The 22,157-nt window shown below is 35.0% G+C and overlaps 2 annotated features.

Moving 5' to 3' along the window:
* Positions 17,496-18,695: an enhancer, noted in NCBI's record as "BRD4-independent group 4 enhancer chr6:68531597-68532796 (GRCh37/hg19 assembly coordinates)". NCBI's record gives its function as "activates an origin of replication core promoter dependent on BRD2, P300/CBP, MED14 and CDK7 cofactors, and independent of BRD4, by STARR-seq in HCT116 cells {active_cell/tissue: HCT116}" and the evidence as "EXISTENCE:reporter gene assay evidence [ECO:0000049][PMID:35650434]".
* Positions 21,768-22,062: an enhancer, noted in NCBI's record as "tiled region #5869; K562 Activating DNase matched - State 24:Quies". NCBI's record gives its function as "activates a minimal TATA promoter and a strong SV40 promoter by Sharpr-MPRA in K562 cells {active_cell/tissue: K562}" and the evidence as "EXISTENCE:reporter gene assay evidence [ECO:0000049][PMID:27701403]".

Here is a 22,157-nt window from a genome sequence, read left to right on the forward strand (position 1 = left end):
AAGGACAAATACATATGATCATTCTTGTTGATGCTGAAATAACATTTGACAAAATTCAACATCCCTTTATAATTAAAAACTCTCAAAACATTGGGTATACCTCAACAAAGCAAAACATATATGAAAGACCCACAGCTAGTATCATACTGAATGGTGAAAAACTAAAAGCCCTTCCTTAAGATCTGGAAAGTGATAAGGATGCCTGCTTTCACCACTGTTATTCAACATAATAATGAAAGTCGCAGCTATAATAATCAGATAAGAGAAGGAACTAAAGGGCATCGAATTCGAAAGAAAGAAAAGTAGCCTTGTTTGCAGATGATATAATCTTATATTTGGAAAAACATAAAGACACCACCAAAAAATCTATTAGGACTCATAAATTCACCAAAGTTGCAAGATACAAAATCAACATACAAATGGTAGCATTTTCACATTTCCATTCATCTTCTTTTATTATTATACTTTAAATTCTGAGATACATGTGCAGAACGTGCAGGTTTGTTACATAGGTATACACATGCCATGGTGGTTTGCTGCACCCATCAACCCGTGATCTACATTAGGTATTTCTCCTACTGCTATTGCTCCCCTAGCCCACCACTCCCTGACAGGCCCTGATGTGTGATGTTTCCCTTGCTGTGTCCATGTGTTCTCATTTTTCAACACCGACTTATGAGTGAGAACATGTGGCGTTTGGTTTTCTGTTCCTGTGTTAGTTTGCTGAGAATGATGGTTTCCAGTTTCATCCACGTCCCTGCAAATGACATGAACTCATCCTTTTTTATGGCTGCATAGTATTCCGTGTTGTATATGTGCCACATTTTATTTATCCAGTCTAACATTTATGGGCATTTGTGTTGGTCCCCAGTCTTTGCTATTGTGAATAGTGCTGCAATAAACATACGTGTGCATGTGTCTTTATAGTAGAATGATTTATCATCCTTTGGGTATATACCCAGTAATGGGGTTGCTGTGTCAAATGGTATTTCTGCTTCTAGATCCTTGAGGAATCATCACACTCTCTTCCACAATGGTTAAACTAATTTATGCTCCCACCAACAGCATAAAAGCATTCCTATTTCTCCACATCCTTTCCAGCATCTGTTGTTTCCTGACTTTTTAATGATCGCCATTCTAACTGGCATGAGATAGTATCTCATTGTGATTTTCATTTGCATTTCTCTAATGACCAGTGACAATGAGCTTTTTTACACATATTTGTTGGCCACATGAACAGACACTTCACATTTCCATTTTTCAACAGTTAACTACCTAAAAAAGATATCAAAAAATCCCATTTTAATACCTAAAAATAAAATAATATACCTAGAAATTAACTTAACCAAAGAAGTGAAAGATCTCTATAATGAAAAAATAAAACACTGATAAAATAAATCGAAGAGAAAACCAAAAAAGGAAAAATATTCCATGTTCATGGATTGAAATAATTAATATTGTTATAATGCCTATACTACCCAAAGCAACCTACAGATTCAATGAAATCCTTGTCAAAACACCAATGATATTCTTCATAGAAATAGATAAAATAATCCAGAAATATACATGGAAACACAAATGACCCAGGATAGCCAAAACTATCCTGAGCAAAAAGAGTAAAACTGGAAAAATCACATTACCTGTCTATATTTTACTACAGAATATATTCACCAAATCAGCTTAGTATTGGCATAAAAACACATAGACCAATGACGCACATTAGAGAGCCCATAAACAAATCCACACACCTACACTGAACTCGTTTTTGACAAAGGTGCCAAAAACTTACACTGTGGAAAAGACAGTCTCTTCAATAAATTGGCAAGACTGGATATCAGTATACAGAAGAATGAAACTAGACAACTTGTCTCACCATATACAAAAGTCAAATCAAAAATGAATCAAATATTTCAATCTAAGACCACAAGCTGTGAAACTACTACAAGAAAACATTGGGAAATCACTCCAGGGCATTGATCTGGGCAAAGATTCCTTGGGTAATATCCCACAAGCACAGGCAAACAATGCAAACATGGACAATTGGGATTATATCAAGTGAAAAAGCTTCTGCACAGAAAAGGAAATAATCAACAAAGTGAAGAGACAACATCAGAATGGGAAAAATATATTTTCAAACTATCTGACAAGGGATTAATAATCAGAATACATAAGGAATTCAAACAATTCTATAGGAAAAAATCTAATAATTCCATCAAAATGGACAGAAGATCAAAACAAACATTTCTCAAAAGAAGACATACAAATATCACATATATACATAAAAGTGCTCAACATCTTTGATCATCAGATAAATGCAAGTCAAAACTACAGTGAGATATTGTCTCACCCTAGTTAAAATGTATTTTTTTTCAAAAGAGACAATAACAAATGTTGATGAAGGTGTGAAGAAAAGGGAACCCTCATACGCTGTTGGGAATATAAATTATTACAACCGCTATGGAGAACAGATTGGAGGTTCCTCCAAAAAACTAAAAATGGAACTACCGTATGATACTTCAATTCCACTGCTAACTATATGCCCCGAAGAAAGGAAATCAATATATTAAAGAGGTCTCTGCACTCCCATATTTATTGCAGCACTATTCACAATAACTGACTTGCAAGCAACTTAAGTGTCCATCAGTGTAAGAATAGATAAAGAAAATATTGTGCATGCACGTGATGGAGTACTATTCAGCCATAAAAAAGAATGAGATCTTGTCATTTGCAACAATATGGATGGAACTGGAGGCCATTATGTTAAGTGAAATAAGCCAGGCACAGAAAGACAAACTCCACATGTCATCTCTTACTTATTTGTGGAAGCTAAAAATTAGAACAATTGAACTCATGGAAATAGCGAGTAGAATGATGGTTACTAGTGGCTGGGAAGGGTAGAGGGAGGTGAGGGTAGTAAGGATGGCTAATGGGTAGAAAAATAGAGTTAGATAGAATGAATAAGATCTAGTACTTGAACACATAACAGGGTGACTACAGTCAAAAATAATTTATGATACATGTTTAAATAACTAAAAGAGTATAATTGGATTGTTGGTAATATAAAGAAAAGATACATGTTTTAAGTGATGGATATCTCATTTACTCTGATGTAATTATTATGCATTGTATGCTTGTATCAAAATGTCTTATGTACCCCATAAATATTTATACCTACTACATACCCACAAAAATTAAAAATTAAAGTCCAAAGTAAGCAGAAGAAAATAAATACTAAAATTTAAAGCAGAAATCAATGAAAGTGAAAACAGGAAACCAATAGAGAAAATCAACAAAACCTAAAGCTGCTTCTTCGAAATGATCAATAAACCCCTACCCAGGCTAATCAAGAAAAATAAAAAGGGAGAAGACACAAATTACTAATATACGAACTGAGAGGCCATCATTACAGATCCCATGAACAATGAAAATACAATAAAAAACATTTATGCACACAAATGTGATAGCTTAGATGAAATGAAGGAGTTCCCTGAAAAGCAAAATGTATCTAATCTCATACAAGGGGAATAGATCATCTCAATAGTCCTATACTTATTAAGAAAATGAAAACAAATTTTTAAAAAAGCAAACATGTGCATTACCCCAAAAGTCTCTTTGTATTTGATTTTTATTTTTTTAGTTCTTTAGAAATGAAGTCTCGCTATGTTCCCCAGGCTTGTCTCAAACTCCTGACTTGAAGTGATCCCCCCACCTCTGCCTCCCACAGTGCTGAGATTTTATGTGTGATCCACTGTGTGCAGCCCCAAAAGGTTCTTTATGCACCTTTATAAGCCTTCCCTACTATCCCTTAACCTGCTGGCAATCACTCATCTGATTTTTTACATTATAGGTTACATGAAACATGTATTTCCCTAATGCCAATGGTGCTGAGCACATGTCCACATGCTTATGCAATCACATAGGCTTAATTTTCTAGAGGTTTATATAATAAATGGTGTCATATGATATCTAGCCTTCTGTAACTAGCTTCTTTCACTCAGCAAAAATCATTTTGAGATTCATCCCCATTGTTATGTGTATGGTTTAATAGTATATTATCTTGTTGCCAAGTAATTCATTATATAGCTATGCCATAATTTATTTTTTTCAACTGTCAATGGATATTTACACTGTTACCGAGGGTGGCTATTACAAATAAAGCTTCTGTGAACACTCATGCACAAGTCTTTTTATAGGTATATTAAATGGTAGAGATTAATGGATACATATTTAACTCTTTAAGGAATTACTAACCAGTACCAATTTGTATTCCTCCCACAGTGTTTAATAACTGGATTTGAGGCACATCACAAATATTTGGTATTATGAGTCTTTTAAATTTTTACCAATGTAACAGATGTATCATGATATTTCAATTGTTGCTTTAATTTAAGATTTCCTAATTCCTAAAAATATTGAGCACCTCTTCATATGCTTGCTTGAAATCTATAAAACTTATTTGTTAAAACATCTATTCAAATGTTTTGGCCATTATTTAATTGGGGCATTTATTTTCTATTTGAATCTTGAAATATACTTCATTTGTCAATGCTTAGCAAATATTTTCCTTCAGTGTGGGGCTTCTCTTAACATTGTCTTTGAAAAGCAGAGATTTTCATTTCAATGAAGTCAGATTATCAAATTATTATTTTATGAATCATGCTTTTGATGTTACAGCTGAGAAATCTTTTCTATCCCAAGTATACAACATCTTATCATTTGCTTTTTTCTAGTTGATTGCTTTAGATGTTATGTTTAAGTCTATGATTAATTTTTAGTTAATTATTATAAGTGATGTGAGTTCTGTAGGAAACTTCAATTTTCCTCACTTATAGCTAATTATTGCCACAACATTTGTGTAAGAACTGTACTTTATCCACTAATTGCCTTCTCGGTTTTGTAAAAAATCAATTATAAGTTTATGTGTTGGCCTATTTCTAGTATCGCAATTCTGCTTCATTGTTTTATCTTTCTGCTTTTGTGCCAGTGCCACACTTTTCTGAATGCTGTAGATTCCTAATAAACTTGAAATCACCTAGTATTAACTTTTCAACTTTGCCTTTGTTGTTCAAGCTGTTTTTGCTCTTCTAGTTTTTTTATGCATTCCAATATAAATTATAAAATCAACTTGTCAATTTTACCAAAATGCTAGATAAGGTTTTGATCAGGATTGCTTTGAATTCATATGCCAATATGACAAGAAATAACAACTTAACAATATTGTGTTTTCTGGTCCAGGAACAAGTTGTAGGTCATCTTTTTTTTTAGATTTTCCAAAAATTTATCTCAGATTTTTGTTTTGGTGTGCATGTAAATCTTTGGTCAGATTTATTTCTAAGTACTTCATATTTTCATACAGTTGTGATCAGAATTTCTCTTTGAATTTCAATTTTTGAAGTTTATAGTATACAGAATTATGATTGATTTGCATATTAATATTTTTATTCACTCTTGTTAATCATACTTATTAATTCTATTTTTAATAGAATCTATTATGTTTTCTACACAGATGATTATGTTTTACATTAAAAATACATTTTTAATTTTTTCTTTCAATTTGGATTATTTTCTTTTTGTTATTTTTTATTTGTTTGTTATTTTGCTTCAATGTTTGGCTACAGATCTTAGAGAAGAGCATTCATTCTTTCATCATCAAATATCAGCTAAAGTTTTTGTTGTTATTGTTGATGTCCCTGATGTAGTAAAGGAAGTTCTATTCTTAATTTGCTAAGAGTTTTGGTCAGAAATCGGTGTTGAATTTTGTCAAATGCTTTTTCTGTATTTACAGAGATAATTATATGGCTTTTCTTTTTTTTTTTAGTTTATCAATATAATGGATTATAATGATGCTTCCAAATATGAAAGCCCAACTTTCCTAATGTTAACACCATTTGATCATTATGAATTAGCTTATTTTATGAAGTTGGATTGGATTTGCCAGTCTTGTGTTTAGAACATTTGCATTTATAACATGAGGAATGTTCATCTGCAGTTTTCTTTTTTTGAAATGTCTTTTTCTAGTATTGATATCAGGGCAATTGTGGCCTTCATAGAATGAGTGAGGATATATTTCTTCCTCTTCAATTTTCTGGAAAATGTATTATTTCTTTCTTTACTGTGTGGTAGCATTTATCAATAAAGCCATTTTACAGATGTGATTTCTTCATTTATTTAAAAATGCAATTCAACTAATTTGTATATTAATATTTTATTATGCAATCTTGTTAATCATACTTATTAGTTCTATTTTATAGAAACTATTATGGTTTTTATACATAAATGAAAACATAGATGTCAAATGTAGAGCTATTCCAATTATCTAGTTCATTTTGAGGAACAGTCAGTATTGTGTTTCTATTGAATTTTTTTTTCCATTTCATATAATTCTGAATATATTCTCAAATTTCTTCCTAATATTTCCTATTACTCTTTTAGTAAAACTGTAGAATATTCAATGAGGCACCTTTCTTATTCCTGATATTTGTAACTTGTGCCTCTTTTTATCTGAACATCTGTTTTAGCATTTTTACTAATAAAACTTCTCATCAAATAAACAACTTTTGATATCTTTTTAACTTTTTTTGTTTTGTTTTGTACCATACTGATTTCTGCTTTGAATATTATTAGTTATAGTATGTTGCTTACTTGCTTTTTCTAGTATTTCTTGGGTGTAAAGTGAGGTCACTGATTTGTGACTTTTAAAAATGTTCTAATATTGGCAGTTTTTAGGGCTATAATTTTCTTCTAAGCCTTCTATTGGTAGCATCCCACAAATTTTGATATTTTGTACATTTCTTTTCGCTCAGTTTGAAATATTTGATAATTTCTTTTTGATTTCTTCTTTGAACCATGGCTTATTCAGAAATAGACAATTTTGTTTCCATCTATTTGGGGATTTTTTTCAGATATCTTTCTACTATTAACTATTTAAGTTAAATTTTATTGTGATCACAGATTACACTTTGCGTAACTTCATAATTTTTAAATTTTGTGAAGGTGAGATGCGGTGGCTCACACCAGTAATTTCAGCACTTTGGGAGGGCAAGACAGGTAGATCACCTGAGGTCAGGAGTTTGAGACCAGCCTGGCCAACATGGTGAAACCCTGTCTCTTCTAAAAATACAGAAAATTAGCCAGGCATGGTGGCCTGTGCCTGTAATCCCAGTTACTCGGGAGCCTGAGGCAGGAGAATAGCTGGAATCTATGAAGCAGAGGTGGCAGTGAGCCGAGATTGCGTCATTACACTCCAGCCTGGATGACAGAGTGAGAAAAAAAAAAAGTTATTTTGAGCCCCAGCAGATCAAAGGGAAGAAGGGAAGAGGTGAGTTGAGAATAAGAAGTTTCCAGGCTCTGCCTCTAGTGTAGTTATGCCAGGCTGATTGCATATAGTTACAGCTCTCTATATACAGCAGTTTGTCTGCAGGTTCTTTGAGGCCTATGAATAGCAAAGGCATCCCAGTTGTTTACCAGCTGTATCCCTACTGGTTTCCCTATACCATGCCTACACTCTTATACATAGTCTCTTATTAAACTCCTCTCATATTATCCAGTTCAAGTGCCATCAGCATTTGCTAGTACCCTGACTGATATACACCATCATGATAATGTAAACATTAATGCTGACTTAACCAAAAACTCTTATTATATTGGAAAATAAGGAGGAAAAATATGTGGGTGTATTTTTAAAGTTTTATTTCACTTTTAATTAACACATAATAAACATATATATATTTATGGAATACAGTTTGTTATTTCAATACATGTATACATTGTACAATGATCAAATCAGGACAATTAGCATATCTGTCACCTTAAAGATTTATTTTTTTGTGGTAAGAACATCAAAATACTCTCTTCTATTTATTTTGAAGTATAAAATACAATATTGCTTACTATAGCCACTGTGCAGTAGAACAGAGAACTATTCTTCCTAACTGGAATATTATACCCATTGATCAATCTCTACTCATAACCACTATTTCTACTCTGTACCTCTATGAGATAAGGTTTTTAGATTCCACAAATGAATAAGATCATGTGGGATTTGTCTTCCTGTGTCTGGCTTATTTCACTTAACATAATGTCCTTCAGGTTCATCCACGTTATCACAAATAACAGGATTTTATTATTTTTCTTGGCTAAATAGTATTCCATTATGTGTATATATCACATATTCTTTATGCATTTATCTATTTAGGGACATTTAATTTGATTGCATATATTAGCTACTGCAAATAGTGTTGTGATAAACATGAGAGTACAGATATCTCTCAACATACTGATTTCATTTTCTTTGGATGTATTCCCAGTAGTGAGATTATTGGATCATATGGTAGTTCTTTTTTTAATTCCTTTAGGATCTGTAAAATGTTTTTCATACTAGCTCTGCTAATTTACATTCCCAGAAACATTGTGTAAATGTTTTCATTTCTCCATATCCATGCTAGTATTTATTTTTTGTCTTTTTGATAATAGTCATTGTAATTGGAGTATCTCACTCCAATGTGGTATCTCACTGTGATTTTGATTTACATTTCCTTGATGATTAGTGATATTGAGCATTTATTCATGTACCTGTTAGCCATTTGTATATCTTTTTTTGAGGAATGCCTATTCAACTGCTGTTGGAAATAAGAGTTCGGAGTTGCAAAGAAAATGAGCACTCAAAGGATTTCTCAGCAAGGCAAATTTACTTCTGCAGAAGGGTGCTGCTTGCTCTTCTGGTTGCTGGGAGAGCACACTGAACAAAGGAGGGAAGGGGTTTTTATCCCTGAGGCAGTCAGCCCCTGCTACTGTGTCTGGTCCCCATTGGCTGGAGTTGCACCACACAATCTAAGCTGATCCCAATTGGCTACTTCAAGTAGAGCATTGGTGGGGGCTACAGCTGCAGAAAGGACAGTTTTGGAACTAAGGGCACCAAATAAGGAAAAGATGTGGGTTGTTACAGATTGGGAATGGATGTGGGTTACAGATTGGGAATGGATGTGGGTTACAGATTGGCAATGGCTGGAAGGTTGTTTACCATAACTAGGAGCAAGGAGGCAAGGAAGTTTGGCTTTGAAATTAGAGGACAAAGAACGAGGGAGTTGAACAAGTGGAAACTTTGAAGAAGAACTCACTGTATCCAACAGTGCTTTGCCCACTTTTTAGTCAGATTATTTATTTTCTTGCTATTGAGTTGTTTGAGTTCTTTACATTTTCCAAATGTTTCCCGCTACTCAGATGTATAGTTTGTAAAAACTTTCTCCCATTCTGTAGGTGGCCTCTTCATATGTTGATTGTCCCTTTTATTGTGCAGAAGCTTTTCAGTTTGATGTGATCCTATTTGTCTGTTTTTGCTTATGTCCTCCGTGCTTTTCAGTTTTTATTCAAAATAATGCTTTCCCAGACCAATCTAATGAAATATTTCTATGTTTTGTTCTAGTAGTTTTAGTTTGGGGTCTTACATTTAAGTCTTTAATTTGTTTTGAATTTATTTTTGTAAGTTATGAGAAACAGAGATCTAGTTTTATTCTCCCTGCATGTGAGGATCCAGTTTTCCCAGCAACATTTATTGAAAAAAAAAATTCTTTTCCCTAATCTGTGTTCTTGGGGTCTTTGTAAAGAATCATTTGGCTGTATAGATTTTTCTGTGTGTCTATGTCAATACTATGCTGTTTGGGTTACTGTAGCTTTATGGTATATTTTGAAGTCAGGTAGTTCAAGCTTTCATCTTTTTGCTCAAGATTACTTTTGCAGCTATTTGTGGTCTTTTGTAGTTCTGTACAAACTTCAGAGATTTTTTCTATTTTGGGGAAGAATATCATTGATGTTTTGACAAAAGTATATTGAACCTGTAGATCACTTTGAGTAATATGGGCATTTTAACAATATTAATTCTTTCAATCCCTGAACAGAGAATACCTATTTATTGTGTCCTCTTCAATTTCTTTCATTAATGCTTTATAGTTTTTACTATAGAGATCTTTTACCTCCTTGGTTAAATTTGTTCCTAGCTTTCTTTCTTTTTGTTGTTGTAAATGTTATTATTTTCTTGATTTTTCAGATAGTTCAGTAATGGCAATATAGAAACACTAGTTGTTTCGTATGTTGATTTTGTATCCTGCAACTTTATGGAATTCACTTATTAGTTCTAACAGGTTTTTTTTGATGAAGTCTTTAGGGTTTTCTATTTATAAGATCATGTCATCTGCAATCAGGTAAATTAGCTTTCTTCTTTTCAACTTGGATGTTTTTATTTCTTTCTTGCGTAATCTATCTGGCTAGAACATTCAGTATAATGTTGAAAGAAAATGGTGAAAATAGGTATTCTTGCTTGAGTCCAGATCTTAGAAGAAAAGCTTTCAATTATTTTATGGGACAGACTAAGATCAGACTATGATCTGTCTGATTAAACGGTTGCACTTGAAAATGTGTATTCTGCTGTTGTTGAATGGAGTTTTATAAATATCAATTAGTTCAAATTGATTAATAGTATTTTTCATTTCTATTATTTGCTTCTGATTTTTTATTTGTTTTGTGAATTTTTGAGAGGTTATTGATGTCTCTGACTACAGTTTTAGATCTTTTAATTTCTCTGCGAATTTCTAGCACTTTTTGTTCTATATATTTTGAAGCTTTCTGACTACACATATAAATGCTTAGGCTTTTTATATCCTGTGAAAAAAAATTACATTTTATCTTCATGATGTAAGCTTCTTTATACCTTGTAATATTTTTTTGCCTTGAAATCTACTTTGATATTAATATAGCTATCCTAACTTCCTCTCAACTGTATTAACATTGTATATATTTTTCCACCTTTCATAGAAACCTATTTTGTACACCATTCAACAAATCGTAATCACCTTGTTCTTCCTAGACCCTCAGCTCAATCCCCCCAACAGAGAGAGTACCCCAGGTTTTACCTACGTTCTCTGCACCACTGTTTCAAAATTTACTCAATACATTAAGCTAATAAATCCCAGGGCTGACATTATTTGTTTTCTATCACTCAAAGATCATTATCTTTTATGTCATAAAATCCAGTGTCTTGAAAATTTTTGTTTCATATTTTTTGGCTTTACTTTTTGCTTGTTGTAGTTGGAGTATAAATTGGTCCCTGTTACATCATTTTACCTGTAAATACAAAATCTCAGTTTGAAAAAAATTTACATTCACTTCTTTTGAATAAAATGAAACTTCTTCCCATGTGTGAGTCATTTTTACCTCTTTTGTTCGTTGTTAAGATTTTGTTCACATTTTTTTCTTCAATTTTCTATTAGATATTTTTATTTAACCTATATATTTTTTTGCATTCCTGATGAAATGTTTTTTCAACTTTTATTTTAGATTCAGGGGGTACATGTGCAGGTTTGTTACAGAGGTATATTGTGTGATGCTGAGGTTTAGTGTACAACTGAACCCATTACCCAGATAGTGATCATAGTACCCAATAGGTAGTTTTTCAGCTCTTATCCCCTTTTTCCTTGCCCAACTTGTATTCCTCATTGTCTGTTATTTCTATCTTTATGTCCATATGTACTCACTGTTTAGCTCCCACTTGTGAGAACATGTGGTATTAATGTTCTCCAGTTGCATCTATCTTGCTGCAGAGGACAGGATTTCGTTATTTTTCATGACTGCATAGTATTCCATTGTGTATCTGTACCACATTTTCATAATCCAATCCACCATTGATAGGCACCTGGGCTGATTCCATGTGTTTACTATTGCAAATAGTGCTGTAATGAACACGCAAGTGTATGTGTCTTTTGGTAGAACAATTTATTTTCATTTGGCTATATACTCCATAATAGGATTGCTGAGTCAAATGGTATTTTTAGTTCTTTATGAAAACTCCAAGGCCCCAGCAACACATCACTGTGTAAGGAAAAATAAAGTGCTTCTTAGAAAAAATAAAAGTAGGGGAGGGTACAGCACTTGTTCCAATATTGTTTTTGCATGCATTGTGAACGTCTCTCAGGTGAGATGTGTAGGAAGCTATAAAGCAAACTTTCTTAAGGGTCTCAGAGAGTAGAACAAACTCTTTTATGCTCTTTTCATTTCTCTAACCTAACATTTCTGCTCTTTGGGAATCCAAGCCCAGAGATTCAAAACACAGACATGACCATTTTCTTCTCTCTCTCTCTCTCCTCAATCTTCCCACATTAATTCATGCAAATAGACAACTTCAATTTTCTTTCCCCTCATCATATTCTTTCTCCACCATAGAGTGCCATGGCTTGCCAGTTAGCTCGACCTAGATGGAAGACATATTAATACTCTGAGAATAAATTCTAAGATTTGAACAAACAAATTTGGTTTTAAAAAGCAGGAGGGATTTAGACATCTTCTCTATTCTTAAGCCTCCACTCCAATTTTATTTCCTTCTTAAGAATGTCAAATACCATCCCTATTCTGCCCATGTAAGGAAAAGTATCCTTCTTCTACTTTGCAGCTGGGAATTCAATTTAAGAGGAAATTAAAATACATTTGGCTAATTGTTACAAAATATTATTTTGAATGAAATGTTTAATGGCCATCTGCAATTCTTCTTTGAGTTTCCTAATGGCATAGTTCCCTGGTTTTCTATTATTTTATGTTTTTACCAATGTTTTTACTCCTTTTCTGTGATATGTTTTGAAAATAATTTCCTCAGACTATCTAAATCAGTATTTACCTATTTAATTTTTACATAGCCAGTTTTCTCTATCTTTTCTTTTGTGCCTTCTTGCTTTTTAATTTTATTTAGGGTTTTCATCTCTAAGATTTAAAAGTTTCTTCCTAAAGTTCTGTTTTCTAGCATTTGGTTTATGCACTTTAATTTTTAAACAGACTTTATTTATTAGCACACTTGTAGATCACAGCAGAATTGGGCAGAAAGAACAGAGAGTTACCCTATGCTCCCCTTCCCCCACATAAGCATTCAATTTAATTTTTATATTTAGGCAAGTAATCAGTCAAGTTATCCGGGTATATTAAATTAGGTATGGGATTTTCAATAATGCAGACAGGTCACATTAATTTGATGTGACTAAACACATATATCTGCTATAAATTGTCCATTTATATAGCCAAAAGTACAGGACATAATGAAAATTGGCTCCACAGAGGAGAAGCTGATATAAGATATCTTAAAACAGCTTTGCTTCTATTCCTTGGTTTCCTAAGGAGCAATGTGTTTAGTCCTTCTTAACATTCCATATGCAGGATACTGTCAGATAAGAGAAAGAGCAAATTCTTGCAAGTTATCTATTCATTCTCAGGTTTAAGTTACCGTTTCAAAGATATTGTATTAACACTTTATGCACCTCTATAAGAAAGTGTTTAAAGAACACTGGGCTTTTCTATTTATAAGCCAAACTCAGCACTCATACTGTCTTTTGGGGGCAAAAGCAAAATCTATTCCCAAGTCTTCCTGAGCATTACTTTGCCTTCTGCTTTTTAGTGTCCAAGGTCAATCACCCCAGTTAATCCCAGCATGGTTTCAAGTAATGAGATTGGAACAACAACGAAGATTAAAAAATACTTGTTTCCCCTTACTGTTGATGCGTGGTATTGTATCAATTCACTGCAATTCCTTTTGTAGTCAGACACAAAACTACTGGTTAACATTGGTTAATATGACATTTCTTTAACAAACTTTGTATCCTTAAAACATTTAAGCATTTAACAGCTTGTAGTCTTTTAAAGAAAATTGGTTCCAATTAATTGTACTCTTTTTCTATTTGAATCTCACATTGTCAAAAGTGGTTAATGGGAGACAATTCTGACTCCTTTGTCACTAACTGACATCTTTGGACTTTCTTTTCTTTCTTGAAGCAAAAGTTCTCAGGCACATCTTGAGTCCTCATATTAACGCATGAAATCACTATGTCTCCAAGGACTCCGAGAACCTTTCCACAGAGAAAGATACCAGAGATCAAAACTTGGTAATAATTTCTGGTGTTTCTTAATGCATTCAGGAGGCGTAGCACAGTAATACTAGGGTTGCTAGAGCCTTCTGTAATAGGAACAAAATGTATCATTTCTTAAATCTGCAGTTTGAAAAGAATTTTTCTTGCTTTAATAAAGCTCCCCTTGAGAGGCAGCATAGTGTAAAGGACACAGAGACTGAAACCAGACTGCTGTGTTTACCTCTTGACTTCACAGATGATGAGCAGAGAGACACTGGACAAGTTACCTACTTTCTCTATGTATCATTTCCACTGTCTTCTTTGTGCCTTAATGCCCTCATATATAAATTAGGGATAATAATGGTACCTGTCTAATAAGGTTGTCTTAGGAATTAACTCCCTAAATATTTGGGAATCACTTTAAAAATTGTCTGGCACACAGAGAAGACCCAATTACTGCTAAAGCTAATTTTTTAAAAAGCTTTTTAATGTAATTTTCTTCCTTTTCCGCCAAATTTTGTGCATCTCTGTATACATCGTAACAGAAAACATATTTCTAAATTAGAGTGTTGCTACAAAACACACAAATCTTTATTTTTGTCTTTTTAATCTTTAGCTCAGATGCCAAGTAGTACAGTTTTAGATCACGTCTTGTGCTGACTTCACTTAAACAGCAACAATTGAAAAGAAAAGAAAAAAAAAACCATTCTCTAAAGTAGCTAGGATACAGAGTGTATGTGATATAAAACCTGCACCCAATTTGTCTATGGATGCAATGGCAGAGACAAAAGGGACAATAACATGCTTCTAAAGTTTTGTGTATAACTGCTTTAAAAGCTTCAATTTCTTAGGTCCCATTTTTTATCTTTTATCATGGGAAGCTTTAGAGTTGAATTTAAATTACTTAAATGTCTTTAGATACATAACAAATATTTTCCTTTTGTTCCTGGCCCTCTCTGATTAGTCTATCAAAACTTTTGATTCCACTGAGGGAAGTCATTGGCTTGATGCAGACAAACATAATAAATGTGGATCTTACTAATACCCTTCAGGCTTCATTCACAAAACAGTGCTAAATACAATTATACTTTGGAGAATTTTTTTGTTATTATAATATTTTGGATATTTTTCATGGATATATTTTACATTTGTAATATGGAAGCTTCATAGAAATAGTTTCAAGAGTTAAATTTCTCAAAGTATAAAGTTTCTAAACTTAAAATTTTTGCAATTTGCCATATGGTTATTAGATGATCAGATTTTTTTAGGGAAATAATTATGCATTTATTTACTGAATTATCACAGGAGGTATATTGTCTGCCAAGAACTCATGTTTAGTTGGCTCAAAGAATGACATAAACCAGCCTTTAGAATTCTGATTTTCATTCTTATTCTCTCTCTCTCTCCCCCCACCTTTCCTCCCTCTCTCTCTTTTTCCTCTATTCCGCCTGTCTTTTTTCTCTCTCCTTCTTCTTTCCCTCTTTCTTATTTTTCCTTCCCTATTAGATTAGATGCTATGATAATAGACACTATGTATACTGTAACGTTTTACAGGTAAAACAAGCAGATTTATCTTTCTTATTGCCTGGCTGTATAAACAATATCTTTAGTTCTAGTTATTCCCTAAACTAGGAAGCAGGCCTTCACCAGACACCAAATCTGCAGGCACCTTAATATTGAATTTTCTAGCCTCCAGAACTGTGAGAAATAAACGTTTCTTGTTTAAAGCATCGAAGTATTTTGTTATAGCTGCCCAAAGCAAGACAGCTACCATATGCCCTCACCAAATTTTCCCTATTTATTAACATCTAACATTAGCATGTTAAATTTGCTACAATTATTAGAGCAATGTGTAGATTTATTGTTATAACTGATGTGCAGATTTTATTTAGATATCCTTATTTTTCTTTTAAATCTACACTCCTTTTTTTATTTTAGAATCTCGTTCAGGATATTACTTTACATTTAGGGCAGGTTTCTTAGCAATGAATTCCTTCACTTTAATGTTTTTCTTAAAAATTTATTGCTCTTCATTCAAGTTTGAAGATTAATTCACTGGGTAAAGATTAATTTTGTGGTTTTCTTCTTTCCACACTTTAAATACTTAAGTTCATTTTTTTTTTTTCTGGCATGGTTTCTGATGAGAGTCCACTATAATATCATTTCTCTATAGAAAATATGGAGTTTTTTATCTATTTTATTTCTGGATTTTCTCTATGTCTTTGTAGTTTCTTTTTGAAGTTTGCGTTAGCAGCAGCGAATTTGTAGGGTTCTGCAGCAACACAATTCTTGCCTCCTCAGAGGAAAAAACTATTCCTAGGAGCATAAGGCAGAGTGAGAGACACAGGTTTTTGAGCAGGAGTGAGAGTTTATTAAAAAATTTTAGAGCAGGAACGAAAGGAAGTAAAGTGCACTTGGAAGAGGGCCAAGTGAGCAACTTGAGAAAACCAAGTGTGCTGTTCAGCCTTTGACTTGGCGGTTTTTATACATTGCAATGGTTCTAGGGTTTGTGTCTCTCTTCCCTTTATTTTCTCTTGGGATGGGCTGTTCGTATGCACAGTGGCCTGCCAGCACTTAGAAGGGGCCACCTGCACAATATGTTTACTGAAGTTTCGTGTTTGTTCATTTGAGGTGTTTTTCTCTTATCAGTTGAACGTTCTTAAAAGAAGGTTATATACCAGGTAAACTGCCATTTTGCCTCTTAGTTCACATGTTTGAGCCCTTGCCAAACTCCTGAGATCTTATCAGGAAAGTGAGCGATGACCAGCTTTAAGTGTTTTCTGTCTATTGGGAGACTGCATTTCCATGGTGCTGCCTGTGACCAATTATTATTTTAAAGAGAAAGTTTAACAATTGCCTGAACATCACCTGACGGTCACCTGACATACCTGGGGGGGACCTCTCCTGCTCTGCTCATGTCTGGCTAGGTACCTACTCTAACATTTGAATATGATATGCCATAATGTAGTTTGTTTTTTTTTTCTGGTCCTTATACTCTCTGGTGTTCTTTGATTTTCTGGGATCAGTATTTTTGCACCTGTAATTAGTTAGGGATTACTTTTGCATTGTTCTCAGCCATTATTACTTCAAGTATGTATTCTGTTCTTTCTCCTTTATTCCTATTATGCACATGTTACACTTTTTGTGATTGCCTCACTATTCTTGACTATTCTGCGTTTTTGTCTTTTTCCTTTCTTTAGCCTCTTTGCAATATTCAGTTTGGGACATTCTTATTGACCTATATTCAAGCTGATTCATCCTTTCCTAAACCATGTCCAGTCCACTGATGAATCTACCATAAGGACTCTTCATTCCTGTTATGGTGTTTTTGATTTATGGCACTGCCTTATGATTCTTAGTTTCTCTCTCTCTGCTTGCATTACCCATCTGTTCTTGCATGTTGCCTACTTTTTCCTTTAGAACCCTTCACATATAAATCATTATTTTAAACTCCCCACCTAATATTTTCAATGTCTTTGTCATATCTGAGTATAATTCTGATACTTGTTTTTCTTCTTTAGACTGTGTTTTCTCTTGCCTTTTAGAATGCCTTCTAACTTTTTGTTGCAAGCCAAGCATGTGTTGGGTAATAGGGCCTGAAGTAAGTAAACCTTTTGTGTGAAGATTTATGATGATGTTGAGACGTGAAGCTGGCTGGGCTTCTGGGTCGGGTGGGGACTTGGAGAACTTTTCTGTCTAGCTAAAGGATTGTAGATGCACCAATCAGCACTCTGTGTCTAGCTAAAGGTTTGTAAACGCACCAATCAGCACTCTGCGTCTAGCTAATCAGGTGGGGCTTGGAGAACTTTTGTGTCTAGCTAAAGGATTGTAAATGCACCAATCAGCACTCTGTGTCTAGCTAAGGGATTGTAAATGCACCAATAAGCATTCTGTAAAATGGACCAATCAGCACTCTGTAAAATGGACCAATCAGCACTCTGTAAAATGGACCAATCAGCAGGATGTGGGTGGGGCCAGATAAGCAAATAAAAGCAGGCCACCCAAGCCAGCAGTGGCATCCTGCTCAGGTCCCCTTGCATCCTGTGGAAGCTTTGTTCTTTCCCTGTTTGCAATAAATCTTGTTGCTGCTTACTCTGTGTATGCAGTACCTTTATGAGCTGTAACACTCACCACGAAGGTCTGCAGCTTCATTCCTGAAGCCAGCGAGACCACGAACTCACCAGCAAGAAGGAACAACTCCGGACGTGCCACCCTTAAGAGCTGTAACACTCACTGCGAAGGTCTGCGGCTTCACTCCTGAAGTCAGCAAGACCACGAACCCACCAGAAGGAAGAAACTCAGGACACATCTGAACATCAGAAGGAACAAACTCTGGACACACTATATTTAAGAACTGTAACACTCACGGGGAGGGTGTGCGGCTTCATTCTTGAAGTCAGCAAGACCAAGAACCCACCAATTCTGGACACAATGTGAGTAGGGGTTTGTCTGTGTTTATTGTTTACTATACTTGTAAGCATCAGTGAATTCAAATTCCTCTTACGTACTTATTTTGCCTCCCCACTTGACTTTAGAATCCCATAAATACTTCTCACAAAATCTGCATGTTTCCAATCTTCCAGCAGTAATGCACTGTTACTTTAGTGGAGCCCTGTTTTATTAGTGGTAAATTGGGAGGGAAGAAATATATTTTTCCACCATATTATTACTTCTCAATCTTTAGTGAGCCTATGTCTTTGGAACTTCAAAATCTGGTGTTCTCTGATGGTACAGCTTTCCCCTCCTCTCTTAGATAAAACAGAAGGCTAGGAGGGGATGAAGCTGAGAAGAGGCTCTGGTGAGGTCTCTCTCCATGAAAAATGGCCTTTCTTTTGGAAAATGTTCTGCAAGTTTTTTGGAATGATTATCCTTCCCCTTCTACTGCCAGAGACAAAGAGGGATCATTTTTGGATCTTTATAAGGTGAATCTGGTAGAGGTTTTGGATGTTAAGTCTGCAAAAGTATTGGGCTATACCAAGACTGTTGCCTTCGGTAGTTTTGCGCTCATGCTAGGCTACTTGAAACTTCCAGCAATTCATCCAATTATGACTTACGTGTTTCTTCCGCATTATGCTTCTGCTGCTTTGCTCCAAATAAACAGATCTCTACCGGAACTGTGTAAGAATTTCCGTATCTTTTCAGATTCTGGGTGCCAGTTTGCCCTGCAAGCTCGCTTCTCTAATAGATCCAAAAAAGTCAATGATTTTCAGGGTTCAAGTTTTTTTGTTGTTTATTTATTTTAAGGTCAAAAATGTTGTCTTCCATGCTCATTACATGTCACAGTTAAAATGGAAATTAATTTGTTATACAATTGATAGAAACAAAAGCAATTACTCTGCTCAAAGCTAAGAAGTATTTTACGGATTCATTCCTACTGACTAATTTACAGATTTTTTTGGTATATAGTGTGTTCAAAATGTCAGGCTGCACATTACAGATATAAAAGTGCAAAAATCTCCATCCCATATTTTACAAAAATTTTATTGTGTATTTGATAAAGTAAAATTTATTGACAAATAACTAAATGGGATATGCTATTTGTGATATGTATGTGTGTGCATACTTTATATGTATATAAAATACTTGTTTGCATATATATATGAGTGTGTGTATAAAACCCCCACTCTCCCTGGAATTTGATAAGAAATATCACAGAGCACAGAGATACTTTGAAATGTTAATTTCCTACTCTGGATGTACAATCTGACATTGAGAGAAAAACAAATGAATATCACTGGAAATATTAATAATTATCTTCCTTTGTTCTTTTGAAACTTGATTAGTTTAAGTAATGGGGAAGCTAATTAGAAAATGAATAAAAATATAAAGAATGATCAAATAAGCAGTGTGAAAGTTAAATTGATTGTTTTTACATTAATTGAAATAACCTACATTATTGAAGAATTACACATGCATCAATCCCCTGCTTCTGTGCTGTGTTTTGCAAAACCATGTAAATTATATACTTTGTCCTTTTTTTTTACACACTGTCAAATCTAGGTAAAATTTACACTCAATATTTGTAAAGTGTTAATTGATACCTTGCAACAGTGTGAATGACCTCCTATTGTTTCTTGCACTTTACCAAATCGAATAATAATCCTGAGCCTCTTAAATGAAAGAAAGTTCTTCAAAGATTTATAAGCTCATGACCTGCTATTGTTCTTTTCAAGCTACTGTGACCTTCTTGGCTCATCATTCATTTAATAAAATGAATTCTCTTTTATGTAGTGCAAAGTCTCTGTTTAGAAAATCAGTGACCTTTTCTCTCGTAATAAAAGTGTTTTTACAAGTCTAGCCCTCTTTAAAATCGTTTGAGTTTATTTTTTGCATCTTTTCTAAACTGTAGAAGAATGAGCATCATCAACGACTAGTGCTCTCCCTGGCTTGAAGTTGTGCCAAGTTGTATAAAAGCTCAAGATATAGTTGCATTTAGTTTTGTGGGTTGCATTAAATAAAATGTCATTCACCATTCATAAATGCATACTTCATATTGCAGGAGGTTTTACATTGAGTCTCTCAAAGACTATTGATAATTTCTAAATATGTTATACAAACTTGTGATATAAATAATCTATAGTATTACTTCTGAGTGTGTATGACTCCTTATTTTGTTTATAACATCTGATAACAATATTCCTAATGTTTTATAATGATTTTATCTTCTAGGCCAGAATTTTTACCAATATTATGTGTGTTTTAGATAGGAAAAGTGATGGTAATCTACAGTGTTCTTTACATCCCCACTGGCAATATTTATTTCAGGTCCTAGTTGCATAAAACGAAAGCTATCTTGAAATGTACTCCTTTCAATTGTAGACATTATGGTTTGCAATCCCCTTGCCCATTTTGACTGATATGTATTATAGGCCTGCCTTGAAAATTACATGCTGGGTAGCCATCTTCCAAAATGTTTATGAATATGTAGAAATATAATAAATTTAGTGCATTAAGCTTTCACATAATACCTAAGGATTTACTTAATAATTATTAATAAATTTAGTCACATGTAAAGAAAGAAATAACATCAAGGACATTCTAAAAGGCATTAAAATTTACTCTTGGAATGCATTATATCATTTTGTTCTTAGTAAAGTTAACTTTCCAACCTTTTTATTTCAGATTCCCCAAGTAAACCTGAGAGGTGACAGCGTGCCTGCAGCCCTCGCAGCCCTCTCTCGCTCTCGGCGCCTCCTCGGCCTCGGCACCCAATCTGGCAGTGCTTGAGGGGCCTTTCAGCCTGCGGCTGCACTGTGGGAGCCCCTCTCTGTGCTGGCCGAGGCCGGAGCTGGCTCCCTCAGCTTGTGGGGAGGTGTGGAGGGAGAGGCGCGGGCAGGAACTGGGGCTGTGTGCGGTGCTCGCGTGCCAGTGCGAGTTCCGGGTGGATGTGGGCTCGGCGGGCCGTACTCAGAGCTGCTGGCCAGTGCTGCTAGCCCCGGGCAGTGAGGGGCTTAGCACCCGGGCCAACAGCTGTGGAGGGTGCGCCAAGTCTCCCAGCAGTGCCAGCCCGCAGGTGCTGCACTGGAATTCTTGGTGGGCCTCAGCTGCCTCCCCACGGGGCAGGGCTTGGGACCTGCAGCCCACCGTGGCTCCCCCACAAGGTGGGCTCCTGCACGGTGGCCCGAGCTTCACCGACAAGCGCCGCCCCCTGCTCTGCAGCACCTGGTCCCATCGACTGCCGAAGGGCCGAGTGCGGGTGCACAGCAAGGGACTGGCGGGTAGCTTCACCTGTGGCCCTGGTGCAGGATCCACTAGGTGAAGCCAGCTGGGCTCCTGAGTCTGGTGGGGACTTGGAGAACTTTTATGTCTAGCTAGAGGATTGTAAATACACCAATCAGTGCTCTGTGTCTAGCTCAGAGTTTGTGAATGCACCAGTCAGCACTCTGTATCTAGCTAATCTGGTGGGGACTTGGAGAACATTTATGTCTAGCTAAGGGATTGTAAATGCATCAATCAGCACTCTGTGTCTAGCTCAAGGTTTGTAAATGTACCAATCAGCATTCTGTATCTAGCTAATCTGGTGGGGACTTCAAGAACCTTTATGTCTAGCTAAGGATTGTAAATGCACCAATCAGCACTCTGTGTCTAGCTCAAGGTTTGTGAACACACCAATCAGTGCCCTGTGTCTAGCTCAAGGTTTGTGAATGCACCAATCAGTGCTCTGTGTCTAGCTAATCTAGTGGGGACTTGGAGAACTTTTGTGTCTAGCTCAGGGATTGTAAAAACACCAATCAGCCCCCTGTCAAAATGGGCCAGTCAGCTCTCTGTAAAACAGACCAATCA

The sequence above is a fragment of the Homo sapiens genome, chromosome 6, assembly GCF_000001405.40.
Source record: "Homo sapiens chromosome 6, GRCh38.p14 Primary Assembly".
Lineage (NCBI taxonomy): Eukaryota > Metazoa > Chordata > Mammalia > Primates > Hominidae > Homo > Homo sapiens.